This window comes from Homo sapiens, chromosome 14 (assembly GCF_000001405.40).
Source record: "Homo sapiens chromosome 14, GRCh38.p14 Primary Assembly".
Classification (NCBI taxonomy): domain Eukaryota; kingdom Metazoa; phylum Chordata; class Mammalia; order Primates; family Hominidae; genus Homo; species Homo sapiens.
In genome coordinates this window covers 31768957-31789298 of record NC_000014.9, presented here as the reverse complement: position 1 = coordinate 31789298, position 20342 = coordinate 31768957, and the positions used below count along the sequence as shown (strand labels likewise).

At 38.8% G+C, this 20342-nt stretch overlaps 1 protein-coding gene across 10 annotated transcripts in view; it reads right to left on the bottom strand.

Annotated features, from left to right (window-relative positions):
* The window catches only part of NUBPL (NUBP iron-sulfur cluster assembly factor, mitochondrial), a 299821-nt gene that overhangs the window by 71926 nt on the left and 207553 nt on the right, over positions 1-20342 (bottom strand). For 6 of the 10 annotated variants that reach the window (NM_025152.3, XM_047431787.1, NM_001201573.2 and 3 more), the window contains one exon: positions 1426-1519. The exons of 2 other annotated variants lie outside the window; for them this stretch is intronic. In NM_025152.3, coding sequence (NP_079428.2) covers positions 1426-1519 — 94 coding nt within the window. Of the gene's footprint in view, positions 1-1425; positions 1520-13463; positions 17484-20342 lie in introns of those variants that run through there. 2 more of the 10 variants (XM_011537184.4, XM_017021665.3) reach the window with 2 other exon arrangements.

The following is a 20342-nucleotide window of genomic DNA, read 5'->3' as shown; positions in this document are numbered from 1 at the left end:
GCTGGAGCGCAATGGCACTATCTCAGCTCACTACAAGCTCTGCCTCCTGGGTTCACGTCATTCTCCTGCCTCAGCCTCCCGAGTAGCTGGGACTACAGGTGCCCGCCACCACACCTGGCTAACTTTTTGTATTTTCAGTAGAGATGTGGTTTCACCATGTTAGCCAGGATGGTCTCGATCTCCTGACCTCATGATCCACCCACCTCGGCCTCCCAAGGTGCTGGGATTACAGGCGTGAGCCACTGCACTCAGCCCCTAATATTTATTCTTATCCAGTGTTCACTCAATAAATATTTACCGAGTGCCTGTCATGTACCAGTAGTATAAATGCTGCACAGCAGTGAACCAGTCATGTTCTGCCTAAAAAATACTTAAATGCTACTGCTTTTCTAGAACACAGATTTATACTACCACCTCTGTGAAGTGTTAGAGCAGACAGATAGCTAGACATGAGCAGGAGAGAGAGCCCCTGAGAAAAGGAGGACTAGAAAATCTCACATCCCAGAGACTACCCAAAACCTGCATGCTAGGTATGAACAGAGAGGAGGGGAAATACCTATGCAGAAAGGAACATCCTGAAATACCCCTTAAGATGCCCAGTAATTGCTCACTCTACAGTTAACCTGTCAGAATGTAGCTAGGTACATGCTGATATGAAGAGAAAGAGGGCAAAGGGGAAATTCCTAAGAGATACACAGGCACAGTAAGTACAGATTTAACCACTTTACCACCTTCCTGGGGTGGCGGTAAGGAGCAACAATGCCATTAAGTAGACTTCATATCCAACACTGGGCACACACATGTGCATCAACTCAGAGTAAGAGAATCCTACAAAACTGTGGCAAGAACTAGTCAGGGACAAGGTAGGGACTTAAAGCAGAAGTGGGAAACTAGCCAAAGACAATGGCAGAGACTTGAGACAGGCAGGAACTTAAAGAAAGAGTCCAACACAATGAAAACTGCAATGTTGAACTCTCAGGGCTGCTGGCTCATTTTCTTTCCAGCAGCCCATTCTGCCTCCTCTTTCAGAGCATACTGTCTCTGCTACTACTTAACCCTTGCTGCTACTACTGAACCCTTGCTGCTACTACTGCTGTTTTTCCAGCCTGCTCCTTTCTTGGCATGTACTTTCTTCAATAAATTCTCTGTTCTTTTTGCTAAAATTGTCTCTTGGACAAATTCTTTCTCCCAAGAACAAGAACCACAGACTTCACTCTTCCTAGTAACAAAAGTCTCATGGTTTTATAAATATACTTATTCTGGTAATATTTTGAATAATTTATGCTTCTGATCTCTAATGAAAAATTTATAAGTGAATGAATATTTTTAAGGCAAAATATTTGCCTAACATGGAGTTTGTTTTTTGGTATAGCAATAACAACACATCAAAAAAAGTACAAATTACTTTAAACTTTGAAGATTTACCTGTTATAGGAATATTCTGTGAGACTGATAACTGCACATCTCCAGTTCCTGGTGGCATGTCTACAACTAAGTAGTCCAGTTGACCCCAATCTACCTAAAAAGATGACATAGATTATATCATTGTATAAAAATTCAATGTTGAATAGTGATGTAAACAAAATTAATGTGTTAATAACAAATATAAAATCATAGCTATCGCTTGAGCCATTGCTAGGTACAAGGCACTGTGCTGAGTCCTAAGGATACATGGATGAATAAATGACAGGCCCTTCCACTAGGAGGCCTTCTTTGAATGGCAAGTTTAAATTTCCAGATGACTCATCCGCATACACACACGTTAATGTTGAACTCACTTCTCAGTAGGCTTCTATTCAGGACCATTCACTTATTTTTACTGGGTGTAGCCCACATTTTGCCTAAAGAAGATATTAGCTTTTTGTCACCTTTTTTTAAATTTTGCATTTCCCATGCTAATATAATTTTTTTAAGTTTATTATATTTCCTTCACAAAAATACACTAATAATGAAACCCAAAACTTAATAATAAAAAATTTAATATAACTTGAGTCCCAATATTATTAACATTTTGATTCTTTCTTTCAAGGCATTTATTTATACCCAGAATATTCACCTATATAACCAAGTCCTTACTGCTCAGCCTTCATTTAGATAGGTCTCAAGGGTACCTCAGGTTCTTTACTCCTCAGATACTTCTTCCTTCTGAGTCCCTAGTCTCTATTAATGGCCCAAGGATCTTCTCAATTGTAAAGCAGAAACGTGGAATGACAATAACTCTTCCTTTTCCTTCACTATCCCCAATCAGTTATTCTGCCTTCTAAAAATCTCTCAAACACACCCACTTCTCTCTTTCTCCACTGCCAAGAACCCAAGTGAGGCCACCACCATCTGTTATTATTAAAGCCTCCCAACCAGCCTCTCTGGCTCCAGCACTGCCTATCTAGTCTGTTCCTAACAACACTGAAAAATGGAAGTTTGATAGTGCTACATTTTGTTTAAAACTCTTCTCTTGCCTTTAGGATAATATCTAAGCTTAAGCTCCAGAACACTCTGCCTGTTCTTCTTCACTTCCTAATTTCTCCTCATTCTTCAGATCCCAGCTTAAAATTCATTTCTTTGGGGAAAGCTCCACTAACTCTCATTAAAGTGTTTCTACTACATACTTCCCCTAATCACCTGTTCATTCATTTGCCCAAGAAATGTTTACTGAATACCTACTATGTATTGGGCATTGAGCTAGGTATTGACGATTAAATGGTATCATGATTCCTGCCCTCACAGAAGTTACAATACAGAGACAGAGATATCAGGCAGATAACTATCCTCATAAATACATAATCACCAGCTTTATAATACAAGAAGCCCTGTGAAGACAGTAAAATGTGCACAGAAAAGAGCTTGCTAACTTTGAGAAATTGAAAGATCAATATGGCTAGAGAGCAGTGAGTGAAGAGAAGGTTATCATTCATTTACTGTTGTTTCATGATCTGTCTTCCTATAAAACGGTAACAGGAGACGCTCAAGACGTTTTCTTTCAAGGAATGAATGGCTAAATGAACACATGCAAAGACTTGATTTTTTTAAACCTAAGTGGAAACTGTATATAATTTCATATTGTGCTCCTTAAAACTTAATAACATGTAATATGTCCTTTCCATATAATCATGCTTTTACTTATTTATTTATTTATTCATTTTTGTGACAGGGTCTCGCTCTATCACCCAGGCTGGAATGCAGTGGCATGCTCACAGCTCACTACAACCTCAACCTCCTGGGCTGAAGTGATCCTCCCACCTCAGCCTCCCTAATAGCTGGGACTATAGACGTGTGCCACCATGCCTGGTCAATTTTTGTATTTTTTGTAGAGACAGGGTTTCGCCATGTTGCCAAGCTGGTCTTAAACTCCTAGGCTCAAGTGATCCTCCCACTTTGGTCTCCCAAAGTGCTGGGATTACAGGCATGAGTCACCGTGCCTGGCCTATAATCATACTTTTAAAATAAAAAGTGTAGATGATATTGGGTCAAACAGATTCATTCATATGTCAACACATCTATTCAACACACATGAATTGAGAATTGACTGGGTGCCAGCCATTGTTCCAGGTGATGGTAATAGAGCAATAAACATAATAAAATCACAACCATGATGGAACTGACAATTTAGTGAAGGAGACATGCAGAAAGATAGATAGACAGATAGACAGACAAACAAATCAGGAAGTAATAAGTGCTGTGAAGAAAACTACAGGTATCCCTTACTACAGCAGTCCACAACCTTTTTGGCACCAGGGACCATTTTGTGGAAGACAATTTTTCCATGGATGGGAGCAGGGGACAGTTTCAGGATGATTCAAGCGATTTACATTTATCATTAGATTTTCACAAGGAGTGTGCAACCTAGATCCCTCACAATAGGGTCCGTGCTCATATGAGAATCTAATGCCACTGCTGATCTGACAGGAGGCAGAGCTCAGCTTCATTCACTAACCCATTGTTCACCTCTTGCTGTGCAGTCAGTTCCTAACAGACCATGGTCTGGTACTGGTCTGTGGGCTAAGGGTTGGGAACCCCTGCCTTACTATACAAAATTATTTGGTCCCTGATTTAGATATCCAGATCAAATAAGAATAAATATTTTAGAAAATCTCTTCAATTACCAAATTTCAGATAGCAAGTATGAAGAGTTCAGACAGCAAAGGATTTATCAAAGAATTTATTTGAATCTCTTTGGTCCCCAAGGTCAGACGGTGTAGAGTAAGGAGAAAGAATTGAATGGTGGAAGGTGCTACTTTAGACAGGGTGGTCAGACTCCTGAATAAACTGAGAAAACAACTGATGCAAATATCTGAAGGAAAGAACTCCAGCCAGAAGCCATAATAAGTGCAAAGGCCCTAAAATAGGAATATATTTGCTACATTCAAGCAATAGCAAAAAAGCCAGTATAGCCTTTATAAAATAGCATTCCCATAACCATTAAACTCTCTCCTTCCCTGACATCGTGTTTTCTTCAAAACATTCCTCAGTATCTGACATTATATGTTGATTTGTTTTTTAGGAATCCTAATTTCCCAAACACATGTACTTGATATTGACATAATGACATACTTTAATAGACTGATGAAATGATGAACATAATGAATTCATTCTCAATACAGGGTTCTTTGGCTTGAAAAATAGTTACCCCGAGACTACCCATGACCTCCATCTATGAAACTGTGAAATAAAATAATTGAAAATCTAAGCTGCTGGAGCTTTACATTATTTTGAGCCCTTAAAGAAATGTGATCATGAGGCCTGAGTCACATGACAGGCAAATGTAACCTAGAAAGCTATAACTCTGTTTCTCTGATTACAGATTAGCCTTCTTCCTTACCTACAATGTTTCAATGTTTTGTAAAATGAATAAAGGGTGTCAGGGAAGGTTCCTTCCCTCTTCTCTGTTGATTTTCCTTATACATTAACTTCCCTCTTAACCTTTCTCATACAAAGACTTCATGACTTCATGACTATCACATTGTCTTAAGATAGAATATTAAATATATTCTTAAATTGGAAAGGAAATGAAAACCAGCTGTAAAGAAAACAAGCCATAGGGAAAAAGAAAACGAACTGTAACTAAATTGTTATAACTCATAAATCAGTCTTATATAGAAAATGTTGTGATCCTGTTAAATTTCTTTGTTTTCTTCCTATATGCAAGACCTTAACTTTTAACTTCAGAGTGCTGACTCCATTTCTCTGGAGTCTGTGTTTCCTGGATGGCCGTTCCTAGCCTTTCACGTTAATAAACTCTTTAAAACTGGATTCTGATCCTTTTGATTACTTCAGGTTGACAAAACTTACCCCAAAAGATGAAGGATCATTTTCCTTTTACATTCTTGGCACTAAAACTCCTAGCACCGGCAGACTGACACGTCTCTGGGTTTCAGAGAACATCAAATGACTGGTGCCAATAATTTATCATTGTTTTTCCCTGGCACTTACTCATATTTATCATGTTACTTTCAATTTCTTATTTCTTTAAAGAAAACTGCTATTGGCCAGGTGTGGTGGCTCATGCCTGTAATCCCAGCACTTTGGGAGGCCAAGGCACACGTATCACTTGAGGTCAGGAGTTTGAGACCAGCCTAGCCAACATGGTGAAACCCTGTCTCTGCTAAAAATACAACAATTAGCTGGGCCTGGTGGTGGGTGTCTGTAGTCCCAGCTACTTGGGAAGCTGAGGCATGAGAATCTCTTGAACCCAACAGGCAGAGGTTGCAGCAAACCAAGGCTGCGCCACTGCATTCCACCCTGGGTGACAGCAAGACTCTGTCTCAGAGAAAAAAAAAAAAAAAAAAGAACTGCTATTAAGGTTCCAAGGAACAAAAAATACTTCACAGTTAAGGCAATTCATTTCAAATGACTCTGAATTGAATTTAATGTACCTGAAAAACACCTGGGCCAGTACCTTCATCACACATAGTAGGCTTTCTATAAAGGCTTGCTGATAAACCAAGCAAATGACCACACAGAATCTAGTGCTCAGACTGAGAAGTAAGTACTGAATTAGGAGGTGGACACCACATGGCAGGATCCAGAATCCAATCAGATTGAGCCCTGGCATACCCCATGGCAGGATCCAATCAGATCATGCTTCCTGGCATCACCTCGTTGCAAGATATAATAAGATCACACCTCATTACCCTATGCTTATAAAAGCTGACCAGCCCCCAGTTCAGGGAGATGGATTTGAGCATTTCCTTCTGTCTCCTTGTTAGCTGACTCACAATAAACCTTTCTCAATGTAAAATCCTGGTGCTCTGGTGTTTGGATTTCCATTGTGCACAGGCAAACTGACCCAATTGGTTTGGTGACAAAATGGTGGCCATGAAAGGACCAAAATTAGGTCTCTCCTTGACTTCTTAAATTTAATAGAAAGACTAAATATGTTTGGTCTCTAAAAATTATGCTATAGGAAAACATGTTTTTCTAATAATTATAAAATGGTTCTTATTTATAAAAGACTGATATGCAATAGGCAATTCAAGATTTCTATGTTTATTTTTGTTTGTTTGTTTGTTTGTTTTTTAGACGGAGTCTCACTCTGTCGCCCAGGCTGGAGTGCAGTGGCACAATCTTGGCTCACTGCAACCTCGTCTCCCAGGTTCAAACCATCCTCTTGCCTCCCCAGTAGCTGGGATGACAGGTGCCCGCCATCACAATTGGCTAATGTTTTTCTATTTTTAGTAGAGACAGGGTTTCACCATGTTGGCCGGGCTGGTCTCAAACTCCTGATCTCAGGTGATATGCCTACCTTGGCCTCCCAAAGTGCTGGGATTACAGGTGTAAGCCACCACACCCAGCAAGATTTCTATGTTTTTAATAAAATTTAAGGTTACTAAGAGTTAAAAATTCTAATTTATAATTCTTCAAATGAACTGTGCCAAAAGGTGTTTCTTGTTTGATTGTTTGTTTGTTTGAGACAGAGTCTTGCTCTGTCGCCCAGGCTGGAGTGCAGCGGCGCAATCTCAGCTCACTGCAACCTCCGCCTCCCAGGTTCAAGCAATTCTCCGGTCTCAGCCTCCTGAGTAGCTGAGATTTCAGGCACCCACCACCATGCCCAGCTAATTTTTGTACTTTTAGTAGAGATGGGGATTCACCATCTTGCTCAGGTTGCTCTTGAACTCCTAACCTCGTGATATGCCTGCCTCGGCCTCCCAAACTGTTGGGATTACAGGCGTCAGGCACTGCACCTGGCCAGGTGTGTTTTTAATAAGAAAAAATTATAAGAAACACATAAAATATGTTCTTCAGTGAGAAAAAAATTATTTTGTCAAATTTGGAGGTTATTTAAAAGAAGCTTCACAATATGGATTTAGAAAGGAAACAGAAACAAGATAAAAAGGAACTAATAGTAAGGGGAGAGAGACGTAAGAAAGTTATGGATATAAAGAAAAGAGAATAATATTGTATAAGAAAGAATCATGTGTAGTAAATCTTTGTCCTAAAGTAAAATGACTGGTTATTTAAGAAAGAGAATTATAGGGAAAGGTAGAAAGTCTAAGCATGTCATAGATGGTCTGAGTAAGTCATGAAAAGGTTAATAAATAGAAATTTTAAGAAAGAAACTTGGGGTGTGAATAAGTTGGCTATAATTAAAAGAAATTTTAAAAAGTCTTTCTAGGCAGTGAATGTTGATATTAAAGCACAGAACTTATAATTTTGGCCCTCTATGTTAAAATAACAAGAGTGTCTTAAGACATCAATTTGCTCCTGGTAAGATTGCAAGAGGTTTTGATTTTTAATTCTGAAGTCTGTTTCTTTAATAGCCATTCTCTGAATTACAAATAAGTTTCTCTTTCTGCCCCATTTCTTCCTGAGAACTGTCTAGTTTCTCTGGTTTCAGATTTATCTTGAAGGTCTAGAAAAGCAATATTTTATCCCAGTATAAATTGGTTCTGTAGTTTTATATGTCTGCACTGTTTCATGTAACCAGGCCTTAAATGTCTGAATTATTTCATGTAACCAGGACTTCCTATGCTGTTACTAAATGTATTCCCCTGCTCAAAGTAACTGGCCTAGGAAACAAAGATTGCTTAGGAAGACTGAGGTTTAAAAGAGTTAAGGTTTTTACATTCATGTAACTTTCTGTATTGCTTTTGAAGTCTTTTGATTGTCACTCTGGTTAAATGAGTAACTACTATTTGGCAGTGACCTATGATTCTGTTGAAGGAAGTACTTTGAACTTTTTGATGTCTTTCGTAGGTTCTCCCAGGATCCAAATCCTAAATCAAGCTTCTTGGCCTAAAATTAACTTTGACATTTTACAGGTGGGCCCCCTGGAGAGCCTCAAAGGGTGCATCTCTCATCTTACAGAGATTTTAAATGATTAAGCTTATTTGGTAAATAATATGGGAAGCACTGTCAAATAAGGAATGCTGTTGAATTTCCTTTAAGCCATATTTGTGTAAATGTGCTATTAAAAGTTATTCCAAAATTGTATAAGATTCCTAAAATTCGGATATGTTGGGGTATATGTCATGATGTGAAATTAGTTATATGCTACCGAAATACCTAGATTTCTTTGTTAGTTACAAACTCTCATCAGATCTTTGACTGTGGCTGTTCTGAATTTTTGTTATCCACAGTTATTATCTCAAATTTTTCTCTGGAAGCACTTGCAATTGGCTATAGTCCAAAATTATTAATTAAGACTGAGAAAAACAAAACTACTTGAAGTTAAGTAATTGTTAAGACTTTATTTTTAAGTCTTAATCGTTAAGTCATAACTTAATTGTTATGACTTAAATGTTTTGTTTTCTAGACTTAGGAAATTTTCTGTCATAAGTTATTTAGAGTTTGCAATAATTTGATAACATATCCTTTGTGAACAAGGGTGGGAGCATTTGCTTTTTCTCACAACTTGATTCCTACAAAATTTAGAAACCATTAATGAGTATTCTTATTTTTATGTAATGTAAGTTCAGTAAAAAATCTGCTCTCTCAGCCGGGCACAGTGGCTCACGCCTGTAATTCCAGCATTCTGGGAGGCCAAGGAGGGTGGATCACGAGGTCAGGAGTTCACAGACTAGCCTGGCCAACTTGGTGAAACCCCATCTCTACTAAAAAAAAAAATACAAAAAATTAGCCAGGCATGGTGGCACATGCCTGTAATCCCAGTTACTCTGGAGACTGAGGCAGGAGAATTGCTTAAACCTGGGGGGCAGAGGCTGCAGTGAGTCAAGAGCTCGCCACTGCACTCCAGCCTGGGTAAGACAGCAAGACCCCGTCTCAGGGAAAAAAAAAAAAATGTGCTCTCTCTTTATAAGCAAGATGCAATGGGAAACATTGGTTATATTACTAAGGTTTGGACTGAAATGTCATATTTAAGAATGTGAATAAAATGCCTGGCTTCAGGAGTTCCCAGCTTTTCAGGGAGTGAATGAAAACTGTCACTTCCTGGCAGGCCCAAGAACCTTAAGACTGTAAGTAAACTCCAAAAACCTGCCTCGGTTTGGCTTCCCAGCTGCAAAAGATTCTAAATCTGAGATTTCTTAGATGATCACTGTGGAGAGAAAAAGTTATGCTTCTAAGGAAAGCAAAAGTACATCTGTTATTAGATTGTAACTCTGTGCACTGTCTTCAAGTCCTTGTTATCTATCTGTAGATTGAACTGAATCTTCCTAAGTTCCTCCAATAGTTGGTTATAACTAAATCCCAATGGAGTCCCTCAGCCCTCTTTTCACAATCCAGACTAGGGATGCTCTGAGGACATTCAGGGGATTTCCCCTTTTTAAATCTGATATTACTAGTGTAATATCAGAATTGGGGACAAACTAGACCTTTAGGATACTATGACCCCTTGTCTCAGAGCAGTTGATGCTGTCTCTTCCTTGTAAAAGCCATAGAGAAGATAGTTATGGGGCTACCTCTCACTATCTCCATTCCATACTCTGTCACGGCTCTCTTCAAGTCACATCATAAGCCAGCTAGCAAATGATGAGGTTCTCTTTCTTTCTTCTTCTTTTTTTTTTTGAGATGGAGTTTTATTCTTGTTGCCCAGGCTGGAGTGCAATGGCGCCATCTCGGCTCACTGCAACCTCCGCCTCCCGGGTTCAAGAGATTCTCCCTCAGCCTCCCAAATAGCTGGGATTACAGGCATGCACCACCATGCCCAGCTAATTTTGTAATGTTAGTAGAGATGGGGTTTCTCCATGTTGGTCAGGCTGGTCTCAAACTCACGACCTCAGGTAATCCACCCGCCTCTCCCTCCCAAAGTGCTGGGATTACAAGCATGAGCCACCACGCCTGACCCATAAGGTTCTCTTTCTATCCTCATCTTACCATCACCTGGTGTAATAACTTGCCCAATCCTGCCACTTTACTTACCTTTCCTAAGGCCAAGTCTGCCTAATAAGTGGAACTGCATGCACTTACTAGGTCATGTCTTTTAGCCAAAGGTAAAACAGCCAGTATTTATAAAGATGTCAGGTATGCCTTCACGGTTGTTCATGACTTTGGTATCTGTGTAAAATTTGTCCACAATACACTACTGGCAAACTGTTGCATGCCTCCATGGGCCACTTCCCATTGCTGAGTGGTCCCTTTAAAGTATGGCAACAAGATTTTATTTAGCTCCCTGCCTCACAAGGAAACCAGCACGTACTAATTATGATTTGCATGTTTTCAAACTGGGTTAACACCTTCTTCTTGATAGGTCACAGCAATGGCAGTAGTTAAACCTTACTGGAAAAATTATATCAACCTGGGAAGTCTCTCAAGAGCTTCACAGTGACTAAGGAACTCATTTTACAGGGCAAATTATTCAAAATGTTTATAAAATTTGGCCTATTAACATCCACTGGGGTGGTGGAACAGACCAACAGAATAATAAAAGCCCAATAACAAAGACCCGAGTGGCATTTAGCCTGCCTTGGCCCTAGGCCCTTTCCTTAGTCTTTTTTAACCTTGGTGGGCATTCAACACCCTCTCTCTGGAGTTCTGAATTCATCCAGTCAGGAGAAACCACATTGTTTTTTTTGGCTTGTTTGTTTGTTTGTTTTTGTCTGTTCAGCCCCCATTCACCTCCTGGGAAAGGACTTCTTAGAAACCTGTCAGGCCCACATATCCTTCTCCCAAAAAAGGGGAAAATAATACTTGAGTTGTCCTCACCAGGAGATCTGGCCACAGACAGATCTTATGCAAATTCCCATCTATTCAGTCAGTTTCACTAATTCTACGCCTCCTGCTCTCCAAGAGCTACCTGAGAGTCTTGAGGCACACGCCAACACTGACAATGACCCCATGGATTATAGTTGGAGGCCACTCATGGATGTGATTTGCTGAAAGGGATTAACTCTAGTGAAGGAGCTGCACAGGAAGGTTTCTGAGGTCCTGGTTTGGACTAGGTTCTGTTTGGAATGGTCAGAAACTTTTCTGCACTGTTAATAGAGCTGCCTGCTTCACCACTCATGCCATCAGGGCACAACAGAGATTCCCCTAGACTCCCTTGCTTGTGTGATCCTAGACAACCACACTGCTTTAGATTAACACCTCACTGCACAGGGTGGTGTTTCTGCTATCGCTAATACTTGCTGCTGTATCTGGGTAAATACTACCACTCAGGTGAATTGGGAACATCTGAGGTTATAATGTTAGCCAAATCTCTGAAAGGGACACCTTCAGAAAGACTCCTGGCTGGACTTATTGGGTGGAATTTCCAATGTCCAGACGTTTTCAGCTGGCTTAACCCTGGTATAAGATTCCTTCTGTGTTTCACCCTACAAGTCTTAATGATCCTCCTCATATTTGGGCTAAGCATTTGGCTGCTCTTTAAAATTGTTCTAGCCTATTTTAACAGCTGTCTGCAAGCGACTCCCACTAGGATTGTGCCGACTCAATCCTTAAGACTTTAAACTCATTTTAGCTGGAAACAGGAACCAACTTAACCCAAGAGACTTTGGTTCAAATTTAGCACACATTTGAGTGCCTCTCATAAGTAAAAGACTCTAGTCGTTCAATTGGCCACTGCCCTGCCTCAAGGATCTCTACAAGGGACCAGATGGACCTGGAGCAGGTAGTCAACCACTCTGGCACCATGATGGGATGCAATGCTATCTGCCAACAGGTTTGAGCCAGTCCTTCAAGATGGATCCTGAGTAGCTGACTGAGCCTAAATTTTAAATAGAGCCATGTAGCCATTTGCTGACTACAAGTTATACACATACTCTTCTTCCAAAACTCACACATTTTAATCTATAGAACCTTTGGGGCTCACTTGAACCAGTCAATCAGAGTTGAGCTGTATCAATCAATCAGAACTAAGCAAGTTACAAGTTTCAATCCTTCATTTGCACAAAGAGAACTGATTGGGAACCTGGGTGTGAACTTTTGCTATAAAATCTGAGATTTCTTTCCCTTGTTCTCTGAAACAAACAATGTTCAGGTTGCTAACTCTTTATTCCTTTGTCCTAGAACTGGGTTGAAGTAACTTCTTCTGAAACATAATCCTGAGCACTAAACAATTTCATTTCTCTAACCAAGGTCTACTATCTAACCAGCAGGAACTAGCTAGAGTGGTTGTCACCCCTTTTCCCTCAATACTGAGGAATGGACATAATAAAGGGGCGATTTGGAACTGTATTAGACCAATCTGGTAAACTTTTATGTAACAAAGCTATGGGCTGTTTTTCAGTTGCTGTTGGACCCCCAGTTTGAAGGTCACATAACCTGAACATGAAGATGAACCAAATGGGCAGAACCTAAGTGCTTGGACTAAGGAGTAAGGACTGAATTAAGAGGTGGATACTGCATGGCAGGATTCAGGATCCAATCAGATCAAGTCCTGGCATGACTCCATGGCAGGATCCAGTCAGCTTGGGAAGACAGATTTGAGCGTTTCCTTCTGTCTCCTTGTCAGTCGACTTGCAATAAACCTTTCTCAGTGTAAAAATCTGGTGCTTCAGTGCTTGGCTTCCCATTGTGTGTGAAGGCAAACTCATCTGTGCAGTCAAACAGATCTAGTTTGGTTTGGTGACAGTTCCAGTTCTCTTGTAAAGGAGCCACGAAAGCAATGATTTTAGAATGATTTGGGGAGGCTCTAGATTCTACTTACTGTTGTATAAATTATATTTTACTAAGTATAGGGAAATAAGAACTAGCAAAACACCCAAGCATCTCATTTAGTAAAACCCAGTGGTGGATCCAGATTTTGTGTGGCCTGAAGCATATACAATTTGAGTGGTCATCTCTTAAAATAAGAATACCAAATTATAAATGAAAACTTAGGTACAAAAGTAAATATTTACTTAGAACACGAAAAGAAATTACCATAAATTTCTGGAGGCTTAGAGACTCACATTCCTTCTCTGAGAACTCTTTGAACAGAAATGCTTATATAGAAATGTTTCCTGACCTTCCTGACCATAACCTGGCTGTCTCTCCCCATCTAGAACATTCTAAATTCCCAGAATATCCCAGGATCCTATGCAGATGTAGAACCCTGAACTTAAGCTTTATTAGCTTCATGGTAACCCTACCTTTGGTAAAAGTTTCTCAGTTCTCTTTCAGGCTCCAAACTCAAAGGATTTCAGCAGGGTAGACTCAGTTAGTCTAGAAATTGGAGTTACCAAGGTACTCCAGAGATGCCCTGTGGATAGAGAGGCAGTAATGCAGCAGAAAGTTCATCAAGGTAGCCAGGAAATCAAATATGTGCATCAAATTAAGAAGGATATAGACAGCATAATGAATTAATCAAAAACAAAGCAAGTGGCCAAGACAGCTGAGAAGGGTAGGATGAGGTACAGATCAGGCGCAACAGTTCAGACTTGAGTCAGCCAAGAGAGGCTCCCTGCTAGATGTCTCTTGTACATAGTAACACATGACCATTATTACCCTCTAATGTGAGATATGGCACTTTTGTTTTTTTGCTTTCTTTTGTTTTGTTTTGCTTTTTTGAGATGGAGTTTTGCTCTTGTCGCCCAGGCTGATGTGCAATGGCATGATCTCGGCTCACTGCAACCTCTGCCTCCCAGGTTGAAGCGAGTCTCCTGCCTCAGCCTCCCAAGTAGCTGGGATTACAGACATGTGCCACTATGCCTAACTAATTTTTGTATTCTTAGTAGAGACAGGGTTTCACCATGTTGGTCAGGCTGGTCTTGAACTCCTGACCTTAGGTGATCCGCCCACCTCGGCCTCCCAAAGTGTTGGGAGTACAGGCATGAGCCACCATGCCCAGCCACTTTTGGATCCAAATAGAATGCATTCAGTGAGCTGTTGTGCAAAGCCATTCAATATTGAGATAGTTGTTTTCTTCATTTGTCCTTATAATATTGTGAAATATGTATTTGGTCTTTGTCTCATTTACTGACATAAATCCTAAAATCCTTGGAATCACTAGAGTGATAAGAGTATCTTTTGTATTCTAATAAGTTGACTGGTGGCTGGGGGCACCTACATAGCCTCAAGATGAGGACTGGTTTCCAGGGGAATCAATGTTGTGATTAGAGGGTTGAAACTTTGAGTCCCAGGCCCAACCTCTATGGAGGGGAGAGGGCATGATTGATTACATCACGGGTTTATCAAGGGAAATAGCCCAAACTAATGCTGACAATGGTAATTTTAGGCTAACATGTTTTCCTCAAATAATATTTTACATTTTACACTCAAAATAATGTCTAATAATCTGAGAATAACTCAAAGACTCAAATAAAGGCAATTCCCTCTTTTCTGAGGAATGACTGGGAACTAAAATTGTATTTTATATTTGGGCAGATAAGGTAATTTGTCTTTTTCAGGACATCCGTTATAAAGAATATGGTGTTATGAATAGGAAAAGAACTCGGGTCTCTATCTTTTAGGGACACTTAAGAAACAGATCAAAACAGCAGCAATCAGGTCTCACTCTGAAAGATTCTGGGAACACAAGTGCAAATAGGTTGAATTCTACATGATGAACAGAAAGGGTCCAATGAATGTATGGTCAATAGTTCCATTTTAGGCTTCTCAGCTGGTTCAAGCAGTTTACCACAAGCAGTTTCCCACAATCAGTTTCCAGAGTAGCAGTTTCTATCATTAGCATTACATAAGCCAAGTCTAAGGACCATAGGGTCAACTTACACTTCTCCAAAGCAATGGCAGAATATCCCAGCCATTCTATTCTGCTAGCAAGGCCAATGTGAGCCAGATGAAAATAACATCAGCAGTGGTGTAAACTCAGCCACACAGAATCAGGGAAGAAAATCACTGCTAAGACAGAGAGCTCTGCTGGAGTCAAAGTGGTGGCCAAGAAGAATTAAAATCCTAAGGGCATGGAAAGGTGTAACCAAAGAACAAATAGAGAAATCATGAAGTAAAAGAGATCTAGATTGGTTTGAACAGCTCAAAAGTGGGCTGTGTCCAGGTAGCCCACTCATATGGTGGTTGGAATATGCCATAAGTGACAGGACAACTTCTTAAAGCAAGTTAGGCTGCACCAGACCTTGCTGCTATCCTTCTTGTCTGACTACTCAGTTTTGAGTCTCATGCCTACTTGACTTATACTTAGTGGATCTCAAGATAGTGTCCTTGTATCTGATTCTGGCCATATACCTGTTGCTACTTCTATTCTATAATCAAGTTTGCTGTTTGCTCCTAATTTCCTGATTCTTCTACGTCAGTTAGGTATAGTCCTACCCTACTAGCAAACAGAACATTACTCATGCTTAACTCAGAATCCCAGAGCATGAAAGCATGCCACTATTGGTATAGAGATGCAGCTAACCTGGTGGACAAATTTTGCAGGCAAATTACCAAGCTCCTAGGATCGTTATTCAACTAACTTCCAGGGTTTGAATGGGTCTTCCAGTTCTAAGGATTCTGGGATAATTTTTTTATATGTAACTATCTTCTCAACTTCAGTTTATGCTCCCTAAACGAAGAAAATATTTACATCCATCTCTGGACTCTCCCTCCAGATCCATACCTCCACAATATCTAACCAGTGTTCATTCAATATCTGCCAAATGATTCTATGAGTCAAGTTGCCCCTTAAAATTTTATTATACAACTAAAATTAAAATTTTTGCCATGTGAGGCACCTTTTATGTACAACATAAATCTAAAATTGAGCAGAAAGTGTTTTTCTTTACATCTGAGGCATGTGTTTTGTTTTACCCAGTGGCCTATATGTAAAATCATGCAACATTTTATTTTGATTGCAAGAAGAAAATTGTTACACAGGAGAAATTATTTAAATATAAATGCCACAATAAAAATCTGAATAATAAAAAGATTTTTACTTTAGTTGATGGCCTACAGACTTGTGGAAATAAATGATACAATATACAATAAACATCCTTGAGATTGTTCAGGTAAGAGCTGACCCAGTTATAAAATGAAAACATATTATTCAAGTTATAATAATTATATAAATGTTCTTCCCTAATCTTTTCATTTTCTTCCCAAATGATAAAAAGTTCTCTAATCCTTTTTACAATGTCTTTCTTTCTAAAAGAAAAAAGGGTGTGGGAGAGGAGGCTGTTTATCTAAATAAACCCCTCTAAAGTCACTATGAGTTCAAAAAGTAACAGCAGACAATTTTAAGAGATAAAAGAAGAAACTTACTCCTTTTCTTTCCCTTTATCACCTCCCTTTTTCTTAGTTGTCCTCCTTGCAGAGGTACACAGCAGGCTGGCCCTGACGATCTGAAGACACCATCAACTCACAGAGGTCTTGTTATCCAAAAGTTGATACATGGGTCAATCTTTGGTAATTCTGAATCTATTTTCTGAACTAATATTTAAAACATTATCAGTTCCCCAGCTAGCCCACAGATGGCTATGTAAATCCACAGTACAGTTGAAATAGTAAAGCTTCAAATATAAAAATAATGATACTATCACACAAGTAACAGTATTTCAGTTAATTATAGAAACACCTCTCTAAGTTCTCTAAAGTCCTGCTTTAGGCCAAGTGCTTATATATACAGATGTTCATAACCTAGGAAGGTGATGTTATTGAAGGACAGGACTGCTACCAAAAAGGCCTAATATATTACAAACCTGCTTAAGAATCAAGATATTTTAAAGAAATTGTCAAAATAAATTTTATCAAAATCTTCTCTACCTCAAAGGCTGAAATTTCAAATTTTTTCCAGTAGGAGTAATCAATCACTGTATTAACCTAATTTGGAATAGCTTATAAAATATATTTAGATGTGTAGCACTCCAATAAAGAAAAATATAAAGCTACAATACACTTTTACTAAAGGTCTTAAGAAAATTTTAAGAAAATCTTTAGAAAAAAATACTTGTATTTGGGAAGATTCAAGGTCCTAAAGGGACAGGAGTATAGCTGTCATAGAAGTGGCTTTCTGAAGCCCCCTAAGAGTATCTACAGACACTGTTCAGTGGTTAAGGTATTAGAGCACTTGAAGGACATTACTGCGTTAGACTAGCATACTGCATGCTAGGGATGATCTGAAGAACTATCCCAACCAAGTTTATTCCTCAGTTCCACCTACCTGCCATCTGTGGTCACATCCTAATTTTGAGCCTTAGGGTCCCTCGGGTGGAAATGGGCTGGTAAATGGAAGAAGTGGGGTAATAGGTAAAGGAGAGCACAAGGAAATTAATAGTTATTGAGAGCCTATTATAAGGCTGACATTAGATATACTGTATATACATAATTGTACAACACTGTAAATCAGCATAATATCTCTATTTTACAGACAAAAATACTGAGGATTAGAGAAGTTACAAGAGTTGTCCAAGGTTAGGCTGTTGGTGAGTGATTAGGAATGGGATTTAGATCCTGGTCTGTGTGACTCAAGTCATGTTCCTAGTCTTGCACAGAATGCAGCACAGCATCACTGTTCTTCAAATCCCTGAAGAGTTCTGCTAACACATCCTCATAACCTCAAGAACATAGGAGCTTTATTATATTACTTCTTCAGTGTAGGATAAAATAGATATATAAAATAAAACTTGTATACCCATAGAAAATTATTACACAATGTAAGTTAGAAATAGAAGAATTATTCATTTGCTTTCCTTTTTTTTTCCTATTCTGGTTCATTATAAGAACGTTTATTTCTGAATATGTTTTTAATGGTAGGTAAGTATTCTTTCCTTACATGATCCTTTGAGAGTCTTTTGTATTGTAAAGCAAGTATCCTAGTTACCATGGAAATCTAGAGTGTAAATTTCCTGACTTTGTGAGGTTGAAGAATACTTTAGCTTTTAATAATCTACCATTAAATTCAGGTTTTGTTTTAAATCAGTATAATTCTACCAACCATCTATACAAGAAAATTACATGGAGTAATCATTTAAATCAAAGTAAATAACCTATAAAGACTAAGAAAAGATATAATACTTTAAAATATTTTTAAACACCCACAGCTTTTTGAACATATTTTTGAAACTGACTCAATAGATATTATTTTTAAATGTAAAGATTAAATCATAGCAAATAAGAAATCAACTGAGAGAAATTGTAGCTCTATATGCAGTTTTATTTTAAGTACTGAAACCGCCTTGGCAAAAATTATAACAGTGAGAAAATTACAGCAGTGAACAAGATCTGACCTAACCAATTCTATCTTGCCTTTAACCTCCAAACTGCCCTTGGTCTTTCCAGGGCATGGGCCAAGCTAACTTTAGGAGAAATTTAGTTTCTAGTTTAATCTTACAGTAAAGATGATATAAGCCTTCCCAAAGCTTAACCACCTTTGTAAAACTAATGAAAGGCTACAAGGTTAGAATTATGAAAGGGGTAGAATTCAGCTAAGATGTAGGCGTAAATGATAAGCAGTCATCATTCTAGAAGTCACAAGTTTCGTAACTTCCTCAATTACTCCTGTAAATAACATCGCTATTGTAGAACCTAAGATTGACCTTTTGAGATGTCTTTTCAGACTTTGGCATTTCTGACAACCAGATGACTTCACTCAGACCAAAGACTCATGATTCAACTCTTCCTGTAGTCCCCACCCAGAAGTAGACTCAGCACACAAGGACCATTTTCCACGCCCCAGTGATTGCATCCCCAACTAAATCAGTGGCACCCATTCCCTAGCACCCTGCCTGCCAAACTATGTTGAAAAACTCTAGCCTCCAAATTTTGGGGAAGGCTGATATGAGTAATAATAAAACTCTGATCTCCCATTTAGCCAGCTCTACGTGTATTAAACTCTCTCTCTATTGCAATTCCCCTGCATAGATACATCAGCTCTGTCTGGGCAGTGGACAAGATGAACCCACCAGGCAATTACAGGATGAACTATTAAAATGAAGTTTTGAGATTTAACATTCTGGTTCAGATATTAATTACTATTAAAAAAAACAAGCACTGAAATGGGAAGTTTGGCAAAAATCAAGACAATAAATCTAGCTAGGGACAGACAAGAATCCAGATATCTATTCATCAAATAAAGGAGTAAGTTCAGTTTAGGGAGACTGGCATACCTAAATTCTAATCATTCTTGTCACAAACTAGCTGTGTGACCACAGGACAGCCAATTAACCTCTCGGGACCCTAGTTTTCTCATCTGTAAAATAAACTATTTTAGATTAGGTAAGCACTAAGTTTCCTTCCAACTACTGAAAAAAAAATACCATGACTATGATCTGTTTGTGTAAACTGAAAAATATTTGTGAGGGATTTAAGGAAAAGGTGAGCAAAAGGAATTTTTATCCAAAAGCACCAAAATAACAAAGAAGCTTTTTTTTTTAAAAAAAAGGAGAGGGTTACCTTATATAAGAACAGGAAAGCTCCAAACTACTTGGTATGTTTAACAAACTTTTTTTTTAATGGAATGATCATATTTCCTTTGGAAAACTTAGCTGAATTTTGTAAAACCTCATTTAAATTTATACTGAACCACAATATACACTGAGTGCCATCCAACACATCTCATTCTAGTGTATGTAAGAATGAGTTATACCAATAAAGAACATTAAAATTTACAAAGTTAATGCATTCCTGAAACATTGTTGAGAAGATTGTCCCCCCAACCTCTAGGTAAGGAGCTAGGAGGGGATTCAATCATGACTCCTTGAAGGTTGAGAAAATAACTTTTATCTGAGGAATGTGACTCTTTAAAAATTATCAAGTCCAGAGAGACATTAAAAGGAGACTGTAATCACATCCTCCTTCTCCTATGAGCTATGTATTCATCTCCTGAAACTGCTTGCTATTGTCATAAAGTAGCTATAAACTGACATAATATGTTGCGCCGGACACTGTAGCCCATACCCTATAGCTTAACAATGTATTACCATCACTAATCAATGTTATTTGTGTAAACCAATGAGAATTCCTAACAACTCTGTATCGGCCCACTCCCTGTCCTCTTTTTTGCCTTTAAACATCCACTTGTAACTGCGGCTGATCTTGAATCTGTGCTCCTGGGTTACAATCCTCAAGCTTGGCCCAAA